The sequence below is a fragment of the Homo sapiens genome, chromosome 20 (genome assembly GCF_000001405.40).
Source record: "Homo sapiens chromosome 20, GRCh38.p14 Primary Assembly".
Taxonomy (NCBI): Eukaryota; Metazoa; Chordata; class Mammalia; order Primates; family Hominidae; genus Homo; species Homo sapiens.
The window spans coordinates 1,667,033-1,685,469 of NC_000020.11; the positions used below are offsets into that span (position 1 = coordinate 1,667,033).

The 18,437-nt window shown below is 42.1% G+C and overlaps 1 protein-coding gene across 1 annotated transcript in view, besides 1 other annotated feature; it reads right to left on the reverse strand.

Annotated features, from left to right (window-relative positions):
• The window catches only part of SIRPG (signal regulatory protein gamma), a 57,304-nt gene that overhangs the window by 37,881 nt on the left and 986 nt on the right, over window positions 1-18,437 (reverse strand). The window lies entirely within an intron of this gene.
• Window positions 6,303-6,804: an enhancer, noted in NCBI's record as "NANOG hESC enhancer chr20:1653981-1654482 (GRCh37/hg19 assembly coordinates)". NCBI's record gives its function as "activates a minimal SCP1, AML or CMV promoter by ChIP-STARR-seq in naive H9 embryonic stem cells {active_cell/tissue: H9 hESC(naive)}" and the evidence as "EXISTENCE:reporter gene assay evidence [ECO:0000049][PMID:30033119]".

Here is an 18,437-nt window from a genome sequence, read left to right on the forward strand (position 1 = left end):
ACTACAGCTGTGCATCACCACACGTAGTCAATTTTTAATTTTTCTGTAGAGACAGGGTCTCACCATGTTGCCCAGGCTGATCTCAAACTCTTGGGCTCAAGTGATCCCCCTGCCTTGGCCTCTCAAAGTGCTGGGATTACAGGTGTAAGCCACAATATCTGGCTAGAAATGTTTAGATACACAAAAACTACTGTGTTCTAATTGCCTACGGTATTCAGTACAGTAAAATGCTGTACCGGTTTGTGGCCTAGGAGCAAGAGGCCATACCATATGGCCTAGGTGTGTAGTATGTAGTAGGCTATCCCTTCTAGGTTTATGTAAGTACACTTTGTGATGGTCATGCCAAAACCAAATTAGCTTGTTGATAGCTGTTGTGAGACCTTGGTTCTTGTCTTCTTAGTTTAAAAGAATTTAAACAAGAGACACACAGCAAAGGAAATGCAGCATAGAGTAATTTATTGCAAAAGGAAAAGAATATTTTGAAAGTTATGTGCAGAATAGATGGTACCTCCTGAGAGAGAGAGAGAGGATTCAAAACGGGTTGTTCATAAGGATAAGACAGCAAAGACTGGCACTAGGGAGGCTCCCTTTAAGGGAGTCTTCAATGATTATTCATAAGGAGGTGGAAAGAGGTGTTGCAAATAAGCATGTTCTGGGCAGTCCTCTGGGTGCACCTGAGCAGTGGCTGTATATGCTTGTTCATACATTGCATAGCTCATTAGCATCTTAAATCTCCACCCAGGGATGTGTTTTTTACTATTATAATGAGCAAAGGGTCAGTTTGAGGACAGGTAAAGTCAAAATGCACAGAGGGGAAGTCCCTACTATAGATAGCTTTGCTTTAATCAGCTCAATTAGAATGCCAATGCTGAGTCTTATTGTATTGACTGTTCTGCCATCACTCTTGCTGCATCCTGAGAACAGGGTTACTTCTTTGACTACCTATCCTCCCTCAAGCTAATGACACATTACTCAGGATGTATCCCCTTCATTATGAAATATATGAACATGTTAAGGAAATTGAATTGATAATTTTAATACTTCTGAAAATATATCTTGAAGACCAGATATTTTCACAGGAGCCCTTTCTTTCTTTTTCTTTCTCTTTTCTTTTCTTTTTTTCTTTTCTTTTCTTTTCTTTTCTTTCTTTCTTTCTTTTTCTTTTCTTTTCTTTCTTTCTTTCTTTCTTTCTTTCTTTCTTTCTTTCTTTCTTTCTTTTTCTTTTTCTTTTTCTTTTCTTTCTTTCTTTTCTTTCTTTCTTTCTTTTTTTGACAGAGTCTTGCTCTGTCGCCCAGGCTGGAGTGCAGTGGCATGATCTCGGCTCACTGCAACCTCTGCTTCTTGGGTTCAAGCGATTCTTCTGCTTCAGCTTCCGGCGTAGCTGAGACTACAGGCACACACCCACCATGCCCAGCTAATTTTTGTATTTTTAGTAGAGATGGGGTTTCACCATGTTGGCCAGGCTGGTCTCAATCTCTTGACCGCATGATCCAACCACCTCGGTCTCCCAAAGTGTTGGGATTACAGGCGTGAGCCACCGCACCCAGCCTTTCACAGGAATATTTTACCAAAAAATTAAAGAGGAATTAAAACCAATTTTAGCTCACACACACCACACAAAAAACAGCCATGAAAGAGATTTGAGAAAATTGTAAAATATACCCAATTTAGATGATATGAGGAAATTTTTGTTAATTTTATTAACTGTGATAACAATATTGATCTTGTAGAAAAACGTCCTCAATCATCAGATCACCCAGGATGGACTCCATTTGCAACTGCAGGTGCATGCATGACTGAGTGAGCAGTGGACGTGACTATGCACCTTCCATGCATCTCTGATTATAGGGGAAATTGTTTGTCCTTCACTTCCTATCTTCACTCTTCCAGCAGGCAGGGACATGGACAAATCAGTGACCCAGCACAGACCCAGCAGATGAGGCTAATGTCTTAGGGCATGCAGGAGGAATCCAAGCCTTTGAAAAGTCTTCTGGAGCAGAGACCCCTCCTGGTATTGTATGAGAGGGAAACAGGACATATTTTGGTCAAAGAGAGGGGAATATCGGCCAACTTCAGATCCTTGGGACAATGTCTAGCAGAAGGGAATATTTCTCTAATTAGCACAAATTTGCCGTACAGGCTGATAGTGGCCCTGTCTTCAGGGCCTCAAATTTACCTTGATTCGTTTAGACTAATCACCTTGTCTAATGACAAGACATCTTCAACAACATCCCAACATCTCTCATTGTTCCTCAAGTTCTGAGTTTCTCTTCTGTAAAACTCCAAACTACTGGATGTTTGAAGCAGGAAGGGAGAGTATAGATGAACGGAAATTTGCACGTAGTAAATGTGCAGAGGGATGTTGCGGTTATTATTGGTCAAATATCAGCATCAGGACACAGAAGAGGCTCATGCTGTGACCAGTCACGGTCCCCAGGGGGCCTGGTCCAGTCTTAAATGCCTTTTCTGATTTTCCCACAGCAGATGCCAGAGTCTGCTGGGATGAGGTCGCAGATGGGATGGAAAAGTTTAGGACAGAACAAAAATGAGTCAGAGAAAGAACAGCAGGAGGGCTGATCTGACAAGGAATGGAGAACATAAGTAAACATCTGAGACAGAAGGCAAAACACAGGACTCCATGAGCAGATGATCTCCCTGCATCTCTCTTCCTCCTTTAATATATATTTGTGTCAAAAGATCTACCAAGTTGTGCATCAAAATCTTAGTAATGGTGACTCTTGGAGTGTGGGATTTGGGGTAGACAGCTGACTTTAAAAATCTACTCTATGTTTATAGATTTCTAGGTTATTTTATAACAAGCATGACTATTACTATTAACATTAAGGAAAGAGACAAAATTTTAAAATCGGGAGTAACCTCACCAAGGGTGGCCTCTGAGCTCTGCTCCTGGTGGGCTGAGACCTCTAGGGCAAGGCTTTTGCTGACCACCAGCTGCCCATCATGCGCCATCTGGTAGGTGAGCACATCATCCCTGTGGGCAGATATGTTCACCAGGAGCCAGCTTGTCCAGTCGTAGGTGCCTTCCATGTTCTCAATGAGGATGGAGGCTGTTTCTATCTGGGACACATTTCTGTTCTCCAACCAGGTCAGCTGTAGGTTCTAGGGGTAGAAATTCTTCACCTGGCAGGTGACGTTCACCTGGTTCCCTGCCTTTATGGGCTGTTGAGTAACCTCCAAGAAGGGTGGAACTGAAACAGCACAGGGCAGAAGCTCTGACCTTGTGGCACAGACAGATCACAGGGAGGGCTCCATAAAGTAGCTCCCACCACCACGGTGAGGGCATCACCAGGACAGAGCTAGGCATGCATCAGGTGCTCAGACATTGAGGGTGCTCTTTGCATATGAATGAAATTACTAAGCACAACGCCCAGCACACAGTAGGTGCTCAAGGACTGGTAGCTCCTACTAGGCTAAGAATGAGTGAAATCTGCAAGCACAACCCCTGGCATGCAGTTGAAATGTCATAACTGCAGCAAAATCAATGAAATCACCAGGCACACAGGGCCTTGGCTCATAGTAGGTGCTCATTAATCGTAGTTGCTCTTGGTGAAATAAATGAAACTATCTAGCATAGAGCTTGCTAGCTATCTAGCAAGCTAGCAAGCTATCTATCTATCTAGCACAGATGTCTACCACCTGGTGGGTGGACATCTAGCTGCTACCATGGAAATGATAGTAAGTGACCAGTACATCTAGGTGCATGGAAGGTGGGCAGCACAGTTAGGAATTAGATTCCAGGAAATCCAAGCCCTGGAGTAAAAGCCAGAGAGGAGGAGCAGGCTTGGCAACCAGATATGGGATTGGGCTAGGAGTGAGGATTCTCTACCTTGAATGGTTTCAGACAAGTTTTCAGTCCCACAAAGAGGGTCCCCCTGTAAAGTGATGTGGGCCACCTCGCAGATGACCTGAAGGCAAAGGTCTCCAGAGGCCAGCACCATCCTGGCTGTGCTGCAGGTGCTATAGGGCATACTTTCTCCTGCAGGGTCCACGTTGATCTGGAAGCCTGAGAGCTCATTCCTATTTTTGGACCATTTCAGGGTGGTGTTTCAGGGGGAGAAGCCGTGGGACTCACAGGTGAAGCTCACTGTATGCTCAGCTGTGGTCCTCACTGCAGTGCATGATACCACAGGGGCAGAGGATTTGGCTACAAAAGGAGCATCGATAAACAGGAGACATGACTGAGATGACCATCACTAATGATGAGTGTGTGACATGTTAAGAACCTTCATGGACATTAGTTTTTAATCCTTCTAATAATGTGGAGAGGGTGGTGTCCTCATTTTACCGACCAGGCTGGAAAGGCTCTGAGAGGTGAGGAAGTCCAGACCTGAGTTCAAAGTTCTCCTCTCTAAACAGGGTGACTTCCACCAATCTGGGCACAGGAACAAAGTTACTGATTGGTCTCCCTCTGTGTATGGACTGGTCCTAGCCTGCCTCCCCTGGAGAGTTCACCAATCTCAGAGAGTGCCGAGACCAGCTCGGTCAGGGAGACCCTAACCCAGCGGCGCTAGAGGAATTAAAGATACATAGAAAGTATAGAGGTGTGGAGTGGGAAATCAGGGGTCTCACAGCCTTCAGAGCTGAGAGCCTTGAACAGAGATTTACCCACATATGTATTGACAGCAAGCCAGTGATAAGCATTTTTTCTATAGATTATAGATTAACTAAAAGTATTCCTTATGGGAAATAAAGGGATGGGCCGAAGTAAAGGGATGGGTCTGGCTAGTTATCTGCAGCAGGAGCATGTCCTTAAGGCACAGATCGCTCATGTTGTTGTTTGTGGTTTAAGAACGCCTTTAAGTGGTTTTCCACCCTGGGTGGGCCAGGTGTTCCTTGCCCTCATTCCAGTAAACCCACAACCGTCTGGAGTGGGCATCATGGCCATCACGAACATGTAACAGTCTGCAGAGATTTTGTTTATGGCCAGTTTTGGGGCCAGTTTATGGCCAGATTTTAGGGGGCCTATTCCCAACAAGAGAGGGCATTTACAGAAGCCAATACAGGGAACAATGGTGAAGTGGTGCCATTGTGAGAGCTGGAACCAGGCCGCTCAGCCCAGGAGACGGGTGGCCTGACACATCCAGCTCCTCTTCTGTAAAATAGGACAGCATTTCTGCTTCCCGGGATGCAGTGAGGATTAAATGGGGCCCTGTTTGCTTTGGATCAAACACAGAGGATGCTTCATATAAGTGAACACAGTTCTATCTTTAACCCAAATTTCGTGAATACACCGAGATCTCTCTGAGGTATTTATGAATTTGTTCCATATAGTTCATTCTTTTCACAAATATTCCAGCAGGATCTGTGAAAGAAAATGAAGTAATTAAGGCTAAAGCTTTAACGAAGAGCCGAGAGTTTGTAAGAACATTGCACCCACACCTGCTAAAGGTCAAGCCACAGGATGTTGCTGTAGATCTGAGTAACAACTGAAGTCAAGGTACGTGGGATTTTGATCTCTCTCATCCTGGAGTACTTTAAGTAACCAATGAAAACAGGTTTGCAGTTTAGAATTTTTGCCCAGCCATTGAATTGTCTCCAAAACCAACTTTTTTGAAAATCCCCTATACAAAACCTTTCCCGCACTGCTGTATGAGACTCTATTCAGCACTTCTCTGACTCTGTATACCCAAAGTACAATTCTTTATTTCCCAAATAAATGCTATTTCTTTTGGCTTTTCGGCCAATCATTTGTTGTTGTTGTTGTTGTTGTTAGCAGGCCTAATTTGTGCCAAGTGCTGCCTTTCCAAAGAGGGAACGTTTTTGGAATCTGGGTCTTCAGTTGGGTCAGGTTTGGGTTGACAAACAAGATCACTGAGTACTGAGAAAGCCAAAGGTGGTTAATGTTTTCATCATTAGTTAACTACAAGAAACACAGACCCAGGCCATCTAAGCAGGCAGGCACTCATCCTGCGTCCTGAAAGCACACAGATTAGAGAATCAGAAAAATGAAGGCAGTTTCTTTCCATAGAGAGGTCCTAAAGGGCACCTCCAAATTGTGAATTACTACCCTACATCTTCTACAACAATCACCAGGAAGCATATATCACACATATTTGCCTTTGTACATATTAACCTGCTCCCTAACATGTGTCAGACATTTTGAGGGCACAGTAAAGAGGGTGTCACTTGAAGAAGAGAAGTTATCAAGATACCACCAGCATGGCGACCCTAACGGGATGAGAGGATGTAATCAATTTCCATTTATGGGAGCCTGATGCTGCCTGCTCCCTCTATACCTCTCTTTAATCTTTTTAACCCCCCTCCATCCCTGTGAGGGGGTCCTAATGTGAGCCCCTTTATAGGATGAGGCTCAGAGAGGAGGCCCGGCTGGCCAAGGACCAAAAGTGGACACAAACCCCACCCTGGTAAGATAAGAGAAGACAAGTGAAAAGCACAGAGCCTGGCATGTCGTAGGTGCTTAACAAATGACCCCTGTGACTGTTTTCAGGAGGTTTGGTCATTACTGCTTCTAAATCTACACATTTATCCTTTAGGCAGCAGAACAAAGAGGAGCAGAAACACCGAGAAAAGGCTCAAACCCTGCTCCCTGCGGCTCATGACAAACCCAAATGACAAAAGGAGCAGAAACCACCAAGTGAGGATTCTCTCCCCTTTTCTGAACAATCCCCTCAGGAAACAAGTTTGGCAAATTGGCTTTCAAAACACAAACAAGATCACAGATGCTTCCCTCCAGAGGAGCTATTTACAGAAGCTGGAAGCATTTTGGAAGGAATAGGAAACAGATTCCTCCATGACATCTTCGTGTGTGGAGGCAGGGAGGCTCCTGGGGCTGAGGAGTGAGGATTTGCTGGGATTTCAGTGCTGTTTAAACACAAACTTGTTAAAGTTGTTCCCAACACTGAGGCTGGGATCTGAGCAGGACTTAGACCAGGCTTCTCCTCCTTGTCCCCTAAGGCCTGCTCCATGGGAAGGGTCCTGGCCAGGCCACTGGGGCCTTCTGAGATGTCTCTGGCCCATGTTATTCTGAAGCATCCACATCCAGAAAAGCTGCTGTCAATGCTCAACACAATGGAGGACCACTTTTGCTAGGGGGCTGTGTATTAGAATCTTCTGGAGTCACTGAGAACTTTGCATGCCCAGGCTCATGTCAGACCAATTAAACTGGCATTTTTTTTTAGGAGGGAGCCTTGGGCTGGATTTAAATTTTTTTTTTTCAAATTTCCCAGATGATTCTAATGAGCAGCCAAGATCGAAAGCCACCAGACCCCACCCCAAACCCCATGTATCCTTGAGGCCTGGAGAAGCACTGACCCATCTGAGGTCTCATAGCTTCGACATCACACAGTTCATATTTATGGAACATTTACTGCACTCCAGGTGCTGCTCTGAGCATTTAAAAGGATTTAACTCCTTCAGTTTCTGTCCCCAGTCTGTGAGGTCAGTGTTATCATCAACAGGTGCGGACACTGAGACTCACTGTGGTAGAGCACCTTGTCCCAGGTCACAGAGCCAGGAAGTACCAGAGCCCGGAAGTGGCCCAGGCAGTTGGGCTCCTGCCTGCCCTGCACTAACCACTGTTCTGCGGAAGCTCAGTAATAACCTGAACAACACCACCATTCAGGACTCTGTGCACATCCTCTCCCATCCTCACAGAACCCAGAGTGGGTTTGGTGCATGATTATCAGCATTGCACAGATAGGGAAACTGGGGACTCAAGGGAAGGCAAGACTGGCCCAAGATCACAAGAAATAACAGCTTGATTTAGGGGTGCCTACAATGTGCTAGGTGATTTACAGAGAGAACCTCAAATCCTATCCCCTCTCCTAAAGGAGTCGTGATGATCACCATTTTACAGATGAGGAAACTGAGGCTGAGAGAAATGAAGGCACTGCCTCCTTGTCCTCCATGTGTCCCAGTGGGCACTTCCTGTGTCCTACCAAGCACTCATGTCCATTAACAGAGCAAGTGCCCTGAATTCTTGAGCCCCAACACTGACTGCACACCCAATTGTCCCTTTGAGATTCTTGACTTTATGCAATTCTAGAGAGAAGCCTCCCTCCTGGGTGCCCGGGCCCAGATACCCTGTAGCCATAAAACACTATGGGCTCCTGACAGCCCAAGGGGAGAATGGAAACTCTTGCTTACAGTGGCCCCACTCACCCACTACGAAATACCTCATCTCCTCATCCTTAGTCCTCAGCACCAAGAAGGGGTGGGCACGTGCTCTGCTGGGCTGCAGGAGGCCCGACTTTGCTCCACAGATGCTGCTGAGTGAAGGAGAAACAGCACAACATGGGGGAAGAGTCCTAAATGCTTCATGTGTGCTGAGACCTGTCCTTTAGGAACAGGCTTGACATATAATGAGCCATCTGCAGAACCTTTCTAAAGAGAGTGTAAAGCCAGCCCCTCCTACCCCTACAGGACTTTTTTTGTTTGTTTGGTGTTGAATGCTTTTTGCTGTAAAACAGAGCAATGCAAGAGTTTAGAATGAGGTTAGAGCATTTCTTCACACTTTAAAAAGCATAGCTGAGGGTTGCAGAGACAGGGGCTGTGAGTCAGGCTGGGTTGGGATCAGACCTTGGCTCCCTGACCTGCTCACCACTCAGGTCTCCTCTCTGAGCTTTAGTGCCTCATCTTTAACCCATACCCTGTTTGCTCCAAGAATACTCTTGTCTCTAATTCTAATGTAACATCAAGTACATTTCTGTTACATTAGGATTAGAGACAAGTTCTGTTTAGAAATAACTCCAAGAACAGTTTTTATATTTTATTTTCACAATGAAAATCAGTCAGATTTGCTTCAACCTCAAAGAGCATGTTTGTGTAAAATTAAATGAGCTCTGGCAGTGAGCTGCACTGTTTTTTTTCTTTCTAAGTGGGTTAAAAGAGGCAACAAGTGGCTCCTCCTTCCTAGAACTGGTTATGAGGAGACTCTGGCACAGCTGCTGCTCCCTGCTTCCCTCCCTGCCTCCCTCCTTTCTCATCCAGGGATCAATTAGGCTGATAATATGGCAAAGAGGAGTGAGCACTTCACTAGGAAGTAGCAGATTGGGGTCACACCTGAGCCACTTACTCGATGTGATTGCCTAGGGTGGGAATGCATCAACTGGGAACTTGCGTCTTTATCTGTAATAACTGCAAAATCAGGATAAAGCCCCCTTCTCCATCTATGTTTAAGGGTTGTTAGGAGTCTCGATTGCTAATGATCTAGGAAGGAAATTAGGCAGTGTTCTTACATATGAAAACACACACACCCTCTGACCTAGCAATGCCACCTCCAGTGGGCATTTGTCACCTGAGTAGGATAACACATGTACAAGGTCACCCACTGCAGGGTTCTTTTAATAGTTCAACATTGGGAGCAACTTACATATTTATCAACAGAATACTGTAAAACAAATTTGATATTTTCATAAATTGGACTATTCTGCAGCTGTCAAAGAGTGGAACAGCTCTCTATGTCCTGACGTGGAATCTCAATAAGGAATGATAGGGTTTATGTTTGGAAGAGTTTTTCCAATCACCAATGGGCTTTAGTGTCTGAATGTGAGGTGCATTCTGAGCCTTTGGGAAACCGATGAAAAGGAGAATTGCTGGCTCTTCGGTCAGTGGTTTTGTTTAAGGAGCTTTTATTTAGCTCCTCGAACATAGTCCGTGTTGTTTCTCTTTGTCTAGTCTGAAATAGTTGTTACCTGGGGAAAGTAGCCTTCTCTTGGACTGTAGATTAATTCGTGGCCTGGTCCAGCTCCTCTGAACCACTGGACAGGCCCCACAGGGAACAGGGAGGTCGCAGTGCAGTGCAGAGTGGACATCTCTCCAGCTGCGACTGACATGAACTTCTCAGGCTGAATCACCTGCAACTCCTCCTCAGCTTTCACTTTCATGACAAAGCAGTCATTTATTCATCCTTACATGATCCTGTGTGTTTCCTCATGTGTATCAAAGACTTTCATTGATCGAGTGCATATCAGGAGCAGAGCTTGAGCTCAGCACATTGCATATATTATCTCATTTAACCTTCACAACAAGCCTGTAGCTTGTTGTGACATGAGACTGTATTAGAAGTGAGGACAATGAGGCGCAGAGAGGTTCAATTTTAAGATAGAGCTTAAACATGAGACTGTATTAGAACATGAGACTGTATTAGAAGTGAGGACAATGAGGCACAGAGAGGTTCAATTTTAAGATAGAGCTTTGGGTTGAGGACCTGAATGGAGCTCCTGAGCCCTCTTTGGAAGTGTCATACTTTGCTAAATATTTTTGCCTTCACTTTCTGGCCATATGGAGTATTGCAATTTCTGGACCATTTCATTGACTGAGGTCATGTAACTGCTTTAGACCATTGAGTCATGAGTAGAAATGATGAGCATAATACGTGGACTGTGCATTCAAATGCAAGAACCTCTATGGATCACCTTCTCCCTTCCGCAGAGACCCACAAGGCTCTGATGGAGTCTGCTCCATCAGCCTGGATTCCTGAGTGACAGTGACATGCAGAATCCCCAACACACCATGAAGATGCAGCTTAAAAAGAAATAACATTGTTTTAAGCCCCTGGGAATTTTTCACCCATAGCATAAGTTTCCTAATGCTGATACGACTAATTACCAAAACTTGGTGTGTTACAACAAAAGAAATGTATCATATTGTAGTTCTGGAATTCAGAAGCCCAAAATTGTGTGACTGCGTTACAATCAAGAAGAAAAGTCAAGTATGTAAAGGTGAAGAATAAAATGGTACTGACCAGGGTGAAGTGCAGGGAGGTAATGGTGAGATACAGGTCAAAAAATACAAAATTGAAGATAGGTCAGATGAGGAAGTCCAGAGATCGAACATGCCATATATCGACAACTAGAGTTAACAATATTGTATTGAATTTAGTATTTTTGCTTAAAGAGTATATTTCATGGGCTCTTGACACACACCCACATGCAGAGTAACTGTGAGATGATGGATATGTTCATTTGCTTGACTATAATAATCATTACACTATGTATATGTATAGGAAAGCATCATGTGGTACACCTTACATATATACAATTTTTTTAAAAAACAGCTATGTTTTCTGGAGTCTCTGTTCTTTGCCTTTACTAATTCTGGAAGCTGGTAACATTTCTTTTCTCATAGTTACGTCTTCCCATCACTCCAGCCTCTGGCTTGCATCCTCACATGTGCTTCTCTAACTCCTAATTTCCTGCCTCCTCCTTCTTATAAGGACTCATGTGATACACTGTGGGCCCACCCTGATGCTAGACCAAGATGTTAAAACCACTGTCTTCAACACGTTCAAAGAGCTAAAGGAAACAATAGACAAACAACTAAAATAATTCAGGATTATGATACAGTAACAAAATAAGAACTGTAACAAAGAGAAATTATAAAAAGAAATCAAACGAGAACTTTAGAGTTGAAAGTATTACAACTAAAAGTTCATTAAAGAGGTTCTCTAACAAGTGAGCAGGTGGGAAAAAAATCAAGAAACTGGAAGATGAAATCATTGAAATTATTGACAGTGAGGTATAGATACAACAAAAATGAAAGATAATAGAATCTAAGGGAATGATGATACATTATCAAATCGATAAAAATACACATTACTAGAGTTCTGGGGGAAAAGAGAAAAAGAGAAAGGGGCAGAAGATTATTGGAAGAAATCATGAACAAAATCTTCCCAAACTTGATAAAATACATGAATCTACAAGCTTAAGGTGCCAAGGAAACCCAAATTTAACTCAGCGATAAAGTCAAAGAGACCCACATTAAGACACATTATAATCCAACTGTCGACAATTAAAGTCAAGGAAAGAATTCTGAAAGCAGCAAAAGAGAAGCGATTCCTCTCACGCGAGAGATCCTTGTAAGATTATCAGCTGAGTTCTTATCAGAAGCATTGGAGGCCACAAGACAGAGGAATGATATGTTTAAAATGCTGAAAGAGGAAAAACCTATCAACCAAGAACTCTACACCTGGCAAACATCCTTCAAACACAAGGGAGAAATTAAGATATTCTCAGATAAATCCTCAGCCATGGATCCTTGCGTGAATAGCACGATGTCTCCAGGCCCAAACTTCCCTGATCTGTAGAAGGGGTGGCATCAGGTCATGAAAATGAGCACCCACCACCACACCCAACTGGTGTGGTGAGAGTTTATGACCACTAAACCTTACCTACAAAAACGCTAAAAGGAGTGCTTTGGGTGGAAATGAAAGGATGCTACATGGCACTCAAAATTGTATGAGGAAATAAAGATGTCCAGTTAGGTGTACATTTAAAAAATTCATATTTTCCTGATGCCTCAACATCCCTGAAACAAGCTGTGAGCACCCTACCAAATGACCAGGTACAGCAGTGTGATAAAGCTGGTCCCTGCCACAATTCCCCTTTTTGTCCTCCTCTGCTGTGACCTAGTAGAGTAGTGGCATTAAAACATACCAGTGAATCCATCATGGTTTTTGTGTCCTCCACCCTAACTCCCAGTAAGACACTTGCCTGGGGTTCCAATCTGTCTTGCTTCCCCATCTGCTTGGTTGAGCCTGCTTCACGGAAGCTCCTTCCATATGGCTTCCTACCTGGCATGCCATACCCCACTCTCTGGGAACTATGAGTAGAATAAATTGTTCATCTTCATATGTCTCTCCAAATGAAATTTTCACAGTCATGTTAGAGTGTTCTTTATAGACCCAATCAGCAGGACTTACTCTACCATTTTCAACACTAATGGCAATGAGAATGGGATCATTCTAAACTAGGGTGGAAAGTTCCTAGGAGATTCCCTTTGAATGCTCATGGCTTGCTAATTTGCTACTCTGATTGGCTCAACCATTTGGGAGATGCTATTACCCTGATGGCTTTCTTGTACTCTGCTTTCTTCAGCTTTGTGTTGCCTTTTGGGAGTGTTACCAAGACTCTCCATCCTAAAGTGGGGATCATGTCTCAATATCAATAATGGCATCCACCTTTCTTCAGGAGCACAGAGATGACATTACATTGATAACAACATCTTTAAAACAGATTCATTTGACACACGTATTAATGTCATATAATCCAACACCTTTAAGTTTCTGTTAAATGCTAGTGGCAACATATTCTTTTACACATCATCGAAAACAATACTCTTGTTAGTGCCTTCAAACAAACGGACAAACAAACAAAAATACCTCTTCTCTATAAAAATTTTGCCAACTTCTTTCATGCCTGTTGGAGTCTCTTCACCACTCATGTTGGCCATGAATTTCCCCAGGGCTTTTGATGCAGAAACAATGCCCCTCTTGGCCTCATCCTATATTCCATTAAAACAACAAATGACTGGTTACCTACTGGGATCCCCTGGTCTGGAGTACAGTTCTACAAGGCATACTTTCCTGTTGCAATCATTAACCATAAATTGTCCCACATCCAGGCTTTGCTCACCTGATATGAAGCGCATTGGAAACTAAGCTTCCACTAGAACACAAAATTAAAATCACTGCCAGGTCCAGCTGCACACCATTCTGTTGACAGTTGGCATTATTACTGCTAGGTTTGTTAATGCAAAAATACTCAACCAAATACTAGCAAACTGAATTGAATAGCATAGTAGAAGGATAATACACCATGAGCAGATAATAGTTATTCCTGAAATCCAAGGATGTTTCAGTAAACAAATGACAACAATGTAATGTACCATATTTATGGAATAAAGGGAAAAACACATGATTATCCATTTGATGCAGAAAAGCCTTTGACAAATGTGGCTATCTTTCTATGACAAAAATAATCAATAAAAGGAATATATGAAAACATTCAAAATTATAAGTCATATACTCATACTTTCTTGTTTTTTTGGCACTATCTAATTTACTATTCACTGTCTAATTTACTATTTTATTTACCTCCTTATCATGGGTATTGGTTACTGTCATTCTCCAGTGGATATAAGGAACAAAAGGGAAACTACTTTTTCTATTTTATTCACCAGTGCACCCAACATTTCTATGTCAGGTCCTGGAACATAGTAGATATCCAATAAATATGTGTATAATGTGTGAATTGCTCAGTGGGATACTTTCTTAAGAGACTGAAATCTTTTATTTTAAATGGATTGTTTCTGTTGAATTTGGAGAAAATAAATTTCCCATGTAGATGAGTTGGTGAAGAAAAAATCAATTTGCAATCATACAGAAAGCAGAAGAGCCCAGGAGAAGAAAACTACACATCCTCTTCCTCATACCACACCCCTGCACACACTCATACTAGCAGCAGCTGCAGAAATCTCATGGAATAGAATCAGGGCCAGAAGTATTTGGGAAGAGTAATGGTGAAAACTGTGATCTCTAGATTAAGAGTGCCTGAGCTCAAATCATAGCTCTGCCAATTACCAATGAATGACCTTGGAATGCTTTGTGCTTCTGTTTCCTTATCTATGTGTGTGTGTGGTGGGGGGCAGGGGGTGATAAGAATCTCTACCTTGGATATAATGATCATCCAAAGTAAGAGCTGTAAGATGTTTCCAACAGTGTCTGCCACATGGAGGGTGTTCAAAAATTATAAAGTTGGCCAGGCACAGTGGCTCAAGCCTGTAATCCCAGTACTTTGGAAGGCTGAGGTGGGCAGATACCTGAGGTCAGGAGTTTCAGACCAGCCTGGCCAACATGGCAAAACCCTGTCTCTACTAAAAATAAAAATAAAAAAATAGCTGAGGGTGGTGGCACACCCCTGTGGTCCCAGCTATTCAGGAGGCAGAAACATGGCAATCACTTGAACCCAGGAAGCAGAGGTTGCAGTGAGCTGAGATCGCAACACTGCACTCCAGCCTGGGTGACAGAGTGAGACCTTGACTCAAAAAAATGAATAAATAAATAAAATAAAGTTTTTACTCAGTAGATTTCCTGAAGCTTGGAGGCTTCAATGGACATTAGATGATGAGGATATAGGTATGACTATGGATATGGATATAACTAATATAACTATAGATATAGTTACTATATAGATATAGATGCTATAGGCCGAAGTTTCTGCAACTTTATCCACTTCTTTCTTCCTCACACCTACCCTTCATGAAAGTGGGAACACTAATAGAGTAATGCATGGAAGTTCTATTTTGAGGGACTATGCATTTTACCAAGAGGTTTGCTTATCTATTGCTTATCTTAACAGATTGGGGGACTTTGAGGGGTAAGATCAGAGAAGTAAAAAAGAAGAGAGAGTGTGGGCAACAGGGAAAACCAAATATCTCTTTAATGTGCATTTCATATAGACTAAGAAATGGTTAGAAGGAAATAATAAGAAAAGTCTTTTAAAAATCCTGTGTGTGTTTCGCATAGTCAAGTGAGATTTATCCCAGGAATGTAAGGATGGGTCGATATTCAGCAATCTCTCCATGTGACACACTACATAAACAGAATGAGTGACAAAAACCCTATGACCATCTCAACACAGGCCCCAAAAATGCATATGAAAAAATTCAACATTTTTAAGTGATAAAAACTGTCAATGAATTACATATAGGATGATTGTTCCTCAACATAATAAATGCCATATGGGACAACTCCATAAAAATGAACTCACATATTTACACTTAATTGATCTTTGATAAAAGTTTCAAGGACACACAATAGGGAAAAGTCAATCTCTTCAAAAATGTTATTGAGTAAACTGGATATCCATGTATAGAGAAATAAAATTGGAACTTCATCTCATACCACATACAAAAATCAACTCAAAATGGATTAAAGACTTAAATGTAAGATCTGAAACTGTAAAGTACTAGAAGAAAAGTTCTGTAACATTGGTCTAGGCAATCAGTTTCTAGATATCAGCCCAAAAGCACACACAACAGAAGCAAAAATAGACAAATTGAATTACAACAAACTAAAAAGCTTCTACATGTGCATTTCTCGTGGATATAGAAATGAATGTGGGATTACATACATAGCCAAGAAAACAATCAACAGAGTGAAGAGACAACATACAGAATGGGAAAATATATTTGCAAATTATACATTTGATAAGGAGTCAATACACAAAACATATAAAGAACTCAAGCAACTCAATTATAAGGCAACAACTCACTCAATTAATATATGGGCCAAAGACCTGAATAGACATTTCTCAAAAGAAGACATTAAAATGGCCAGCAGGCATATAAAAAATACCCAATCTTACTATTCATCAGAGAAATGCAAATTAAATCCATAGTGAGGTATCATCTCACACCTGTTAGAATGGTTATTATCAAAATGAGGAAATTTAAGTAGCATTGGAGAGTATGTGGAGAAAAGAGAATCCAACCCACTGTTGGTGAGAATGTAAATTAGTACAGCCATTATTGAAAACAGTATGGAGTTTCCTCCAAAAATTAAAAATAGAACTATCATTAGATCCAGCAATCTCACTTCTGGGTGTATATCCAAAGGAAGTAACATCAGCATGTCACAGCGATATCTGCACCCATATCCATTGCAGCATTATTTACAGTAGCAAAAATGGAATCAACCTAAGTGTCTATCAACAGATGAATGGAGAAAGAAAATGTGGTATATATACACAATGAAATTCTAATCAGCCTTACAAAAGAAGGAAATTCTGTCATTTCCAACCTGGAGGATACTATGCTAAGTGAAATAAGCCAGGCACAGAAAGACAAATACCACATGGTCTCACTCATACACTGAATCTAAAAAAGTTGAACTCACACAAGTAGAGAGTAGAGCCTATAATCACAGCACTTTGAGAGGCTGAGGCAGGTGGATCACCTGAGGTCAGGAGTTTGAGACCAGCCTGGCCAACATGGTGAAACCCCGTCACTACTAAAAATACAAAAAATTAGCCGGGCATGGTGGCGGACATCTGTAATCCCAGCTACTCGGGAGGCTGAAGCAGGAGAATCACTTGAACCCAGGTGGTGGAGGCTGCAGTGAGCCGAGATCTCACCATTGCACTCCAGCCTGGACAACAAGGGTGAAACACCGTCTCAAAAAAAAAAAAGAAGTAGAGACTAGAGTGGTGGTTACCAGGGGCAGGGGAGGGGGTGTAGTTGGGAGATACTGGTCAAAGGATACAACATTTTAGTTTAGATAAGAGAAATAAGTTTAAGAGATGTATTGTACGATATGATTTCTAGAGTGAATAACATGAATTGTATTGTTGAAAATTGCTAAGAGAGCAGAGTTTATAAGTTCTCACCACAAAAAGTGATATACATGTAAGGTAATGCATAGGTTAATTAGCTCAAATTAATCATGTACACATATTTTATAATATGTTGTACATGATAAGTATATATGCTTTTCTCAAACAAAAATAAAATACATTTCTTTTCTGAGACATTTCATTGCAAATAAAAAGATAACAATAAATGTGAAATCTTATGTACATGTATGTACACTTATAGTCACTTATACACACATATATATATGTATACATATATACACATGCATTCACAAATATATATAAAAGTTTGTTCTGTCCTTATACTATATAAAGATGTTTTGTGCATTAAATAAAATTATGAAACCTGTTAAAATCTCAGTAAAATATTTGGCACATAAAAGTCATCCAACACATTTGTAACAAATGTTGGGAGTATATACACCAGCGTTTTAACTCTGAGTGTCACTTCTCTGACTGGTGTGATGGGTGATGATTATTCCTATGTTTACTTCCCTGCATGTGCTAATATTTCTACAAGTAGCATAACATGGCTAAAAGAATGAACTCTGGAGTTGGTCCACCTGGACTTGAATCCCAGCTGCTCCACTGACTGAGGTAGGGGACAATGGACAAGCTCCTCCCTCTGCCTGACTCCTTGTTTTCAAATAGGAGTTAATAGGTGTAGCTTTCAAATAGGGATGTTGTGAGGATTAGTAGAGTTAAGTAGAGTTAAAATACACAAATTACTAAGAACTGTGTCTACCTTGTAGGAAGAGCTCAATTGCTGAACTCTTACCACTGTCATTTGGGTAAAGTGTATATGTAAGAAAGATAATTTGAAAAGTGAGAACCTTGTCCTCTAGGACCTGTGAGGTGACTCACAGCAGGGGCCAGTGGGGAGCAGGGAGGCTGCTGTGCCCAGCCCTGTGATTCTGGGGTCAGCTCCCTGGCCTGAGTAGGGTGTGAGGACAGGCAGCCTGTCTGTGGGCTGTGAGCAGGGCTCTCCCAGGCTGCACCAGGAAAGGTCTTCCAATCCTGCCTGTCCTGGGGAAGGGAAAATAAATTCTCCATGGTAAAGTCGAAAGAACCAAGGTAGATTGTGGTACTTGTTATGGGCTGAATGTGTCCCCCAAAATGCATGTGTTGAAGCCCCAGTCCCCAGAACCTCAGAATTTGACTGTATTTGGAGACAGGGTCTTTAAGAAGCTATTTAGTTACATGAGGTCATTGGGGGGGTCTTAATCTAATATGACTGGCGATCTCAGAAGAAGAGGAGATGAGGACACAGACACACACTGAGGGAAGAACACGTAATAAGACACA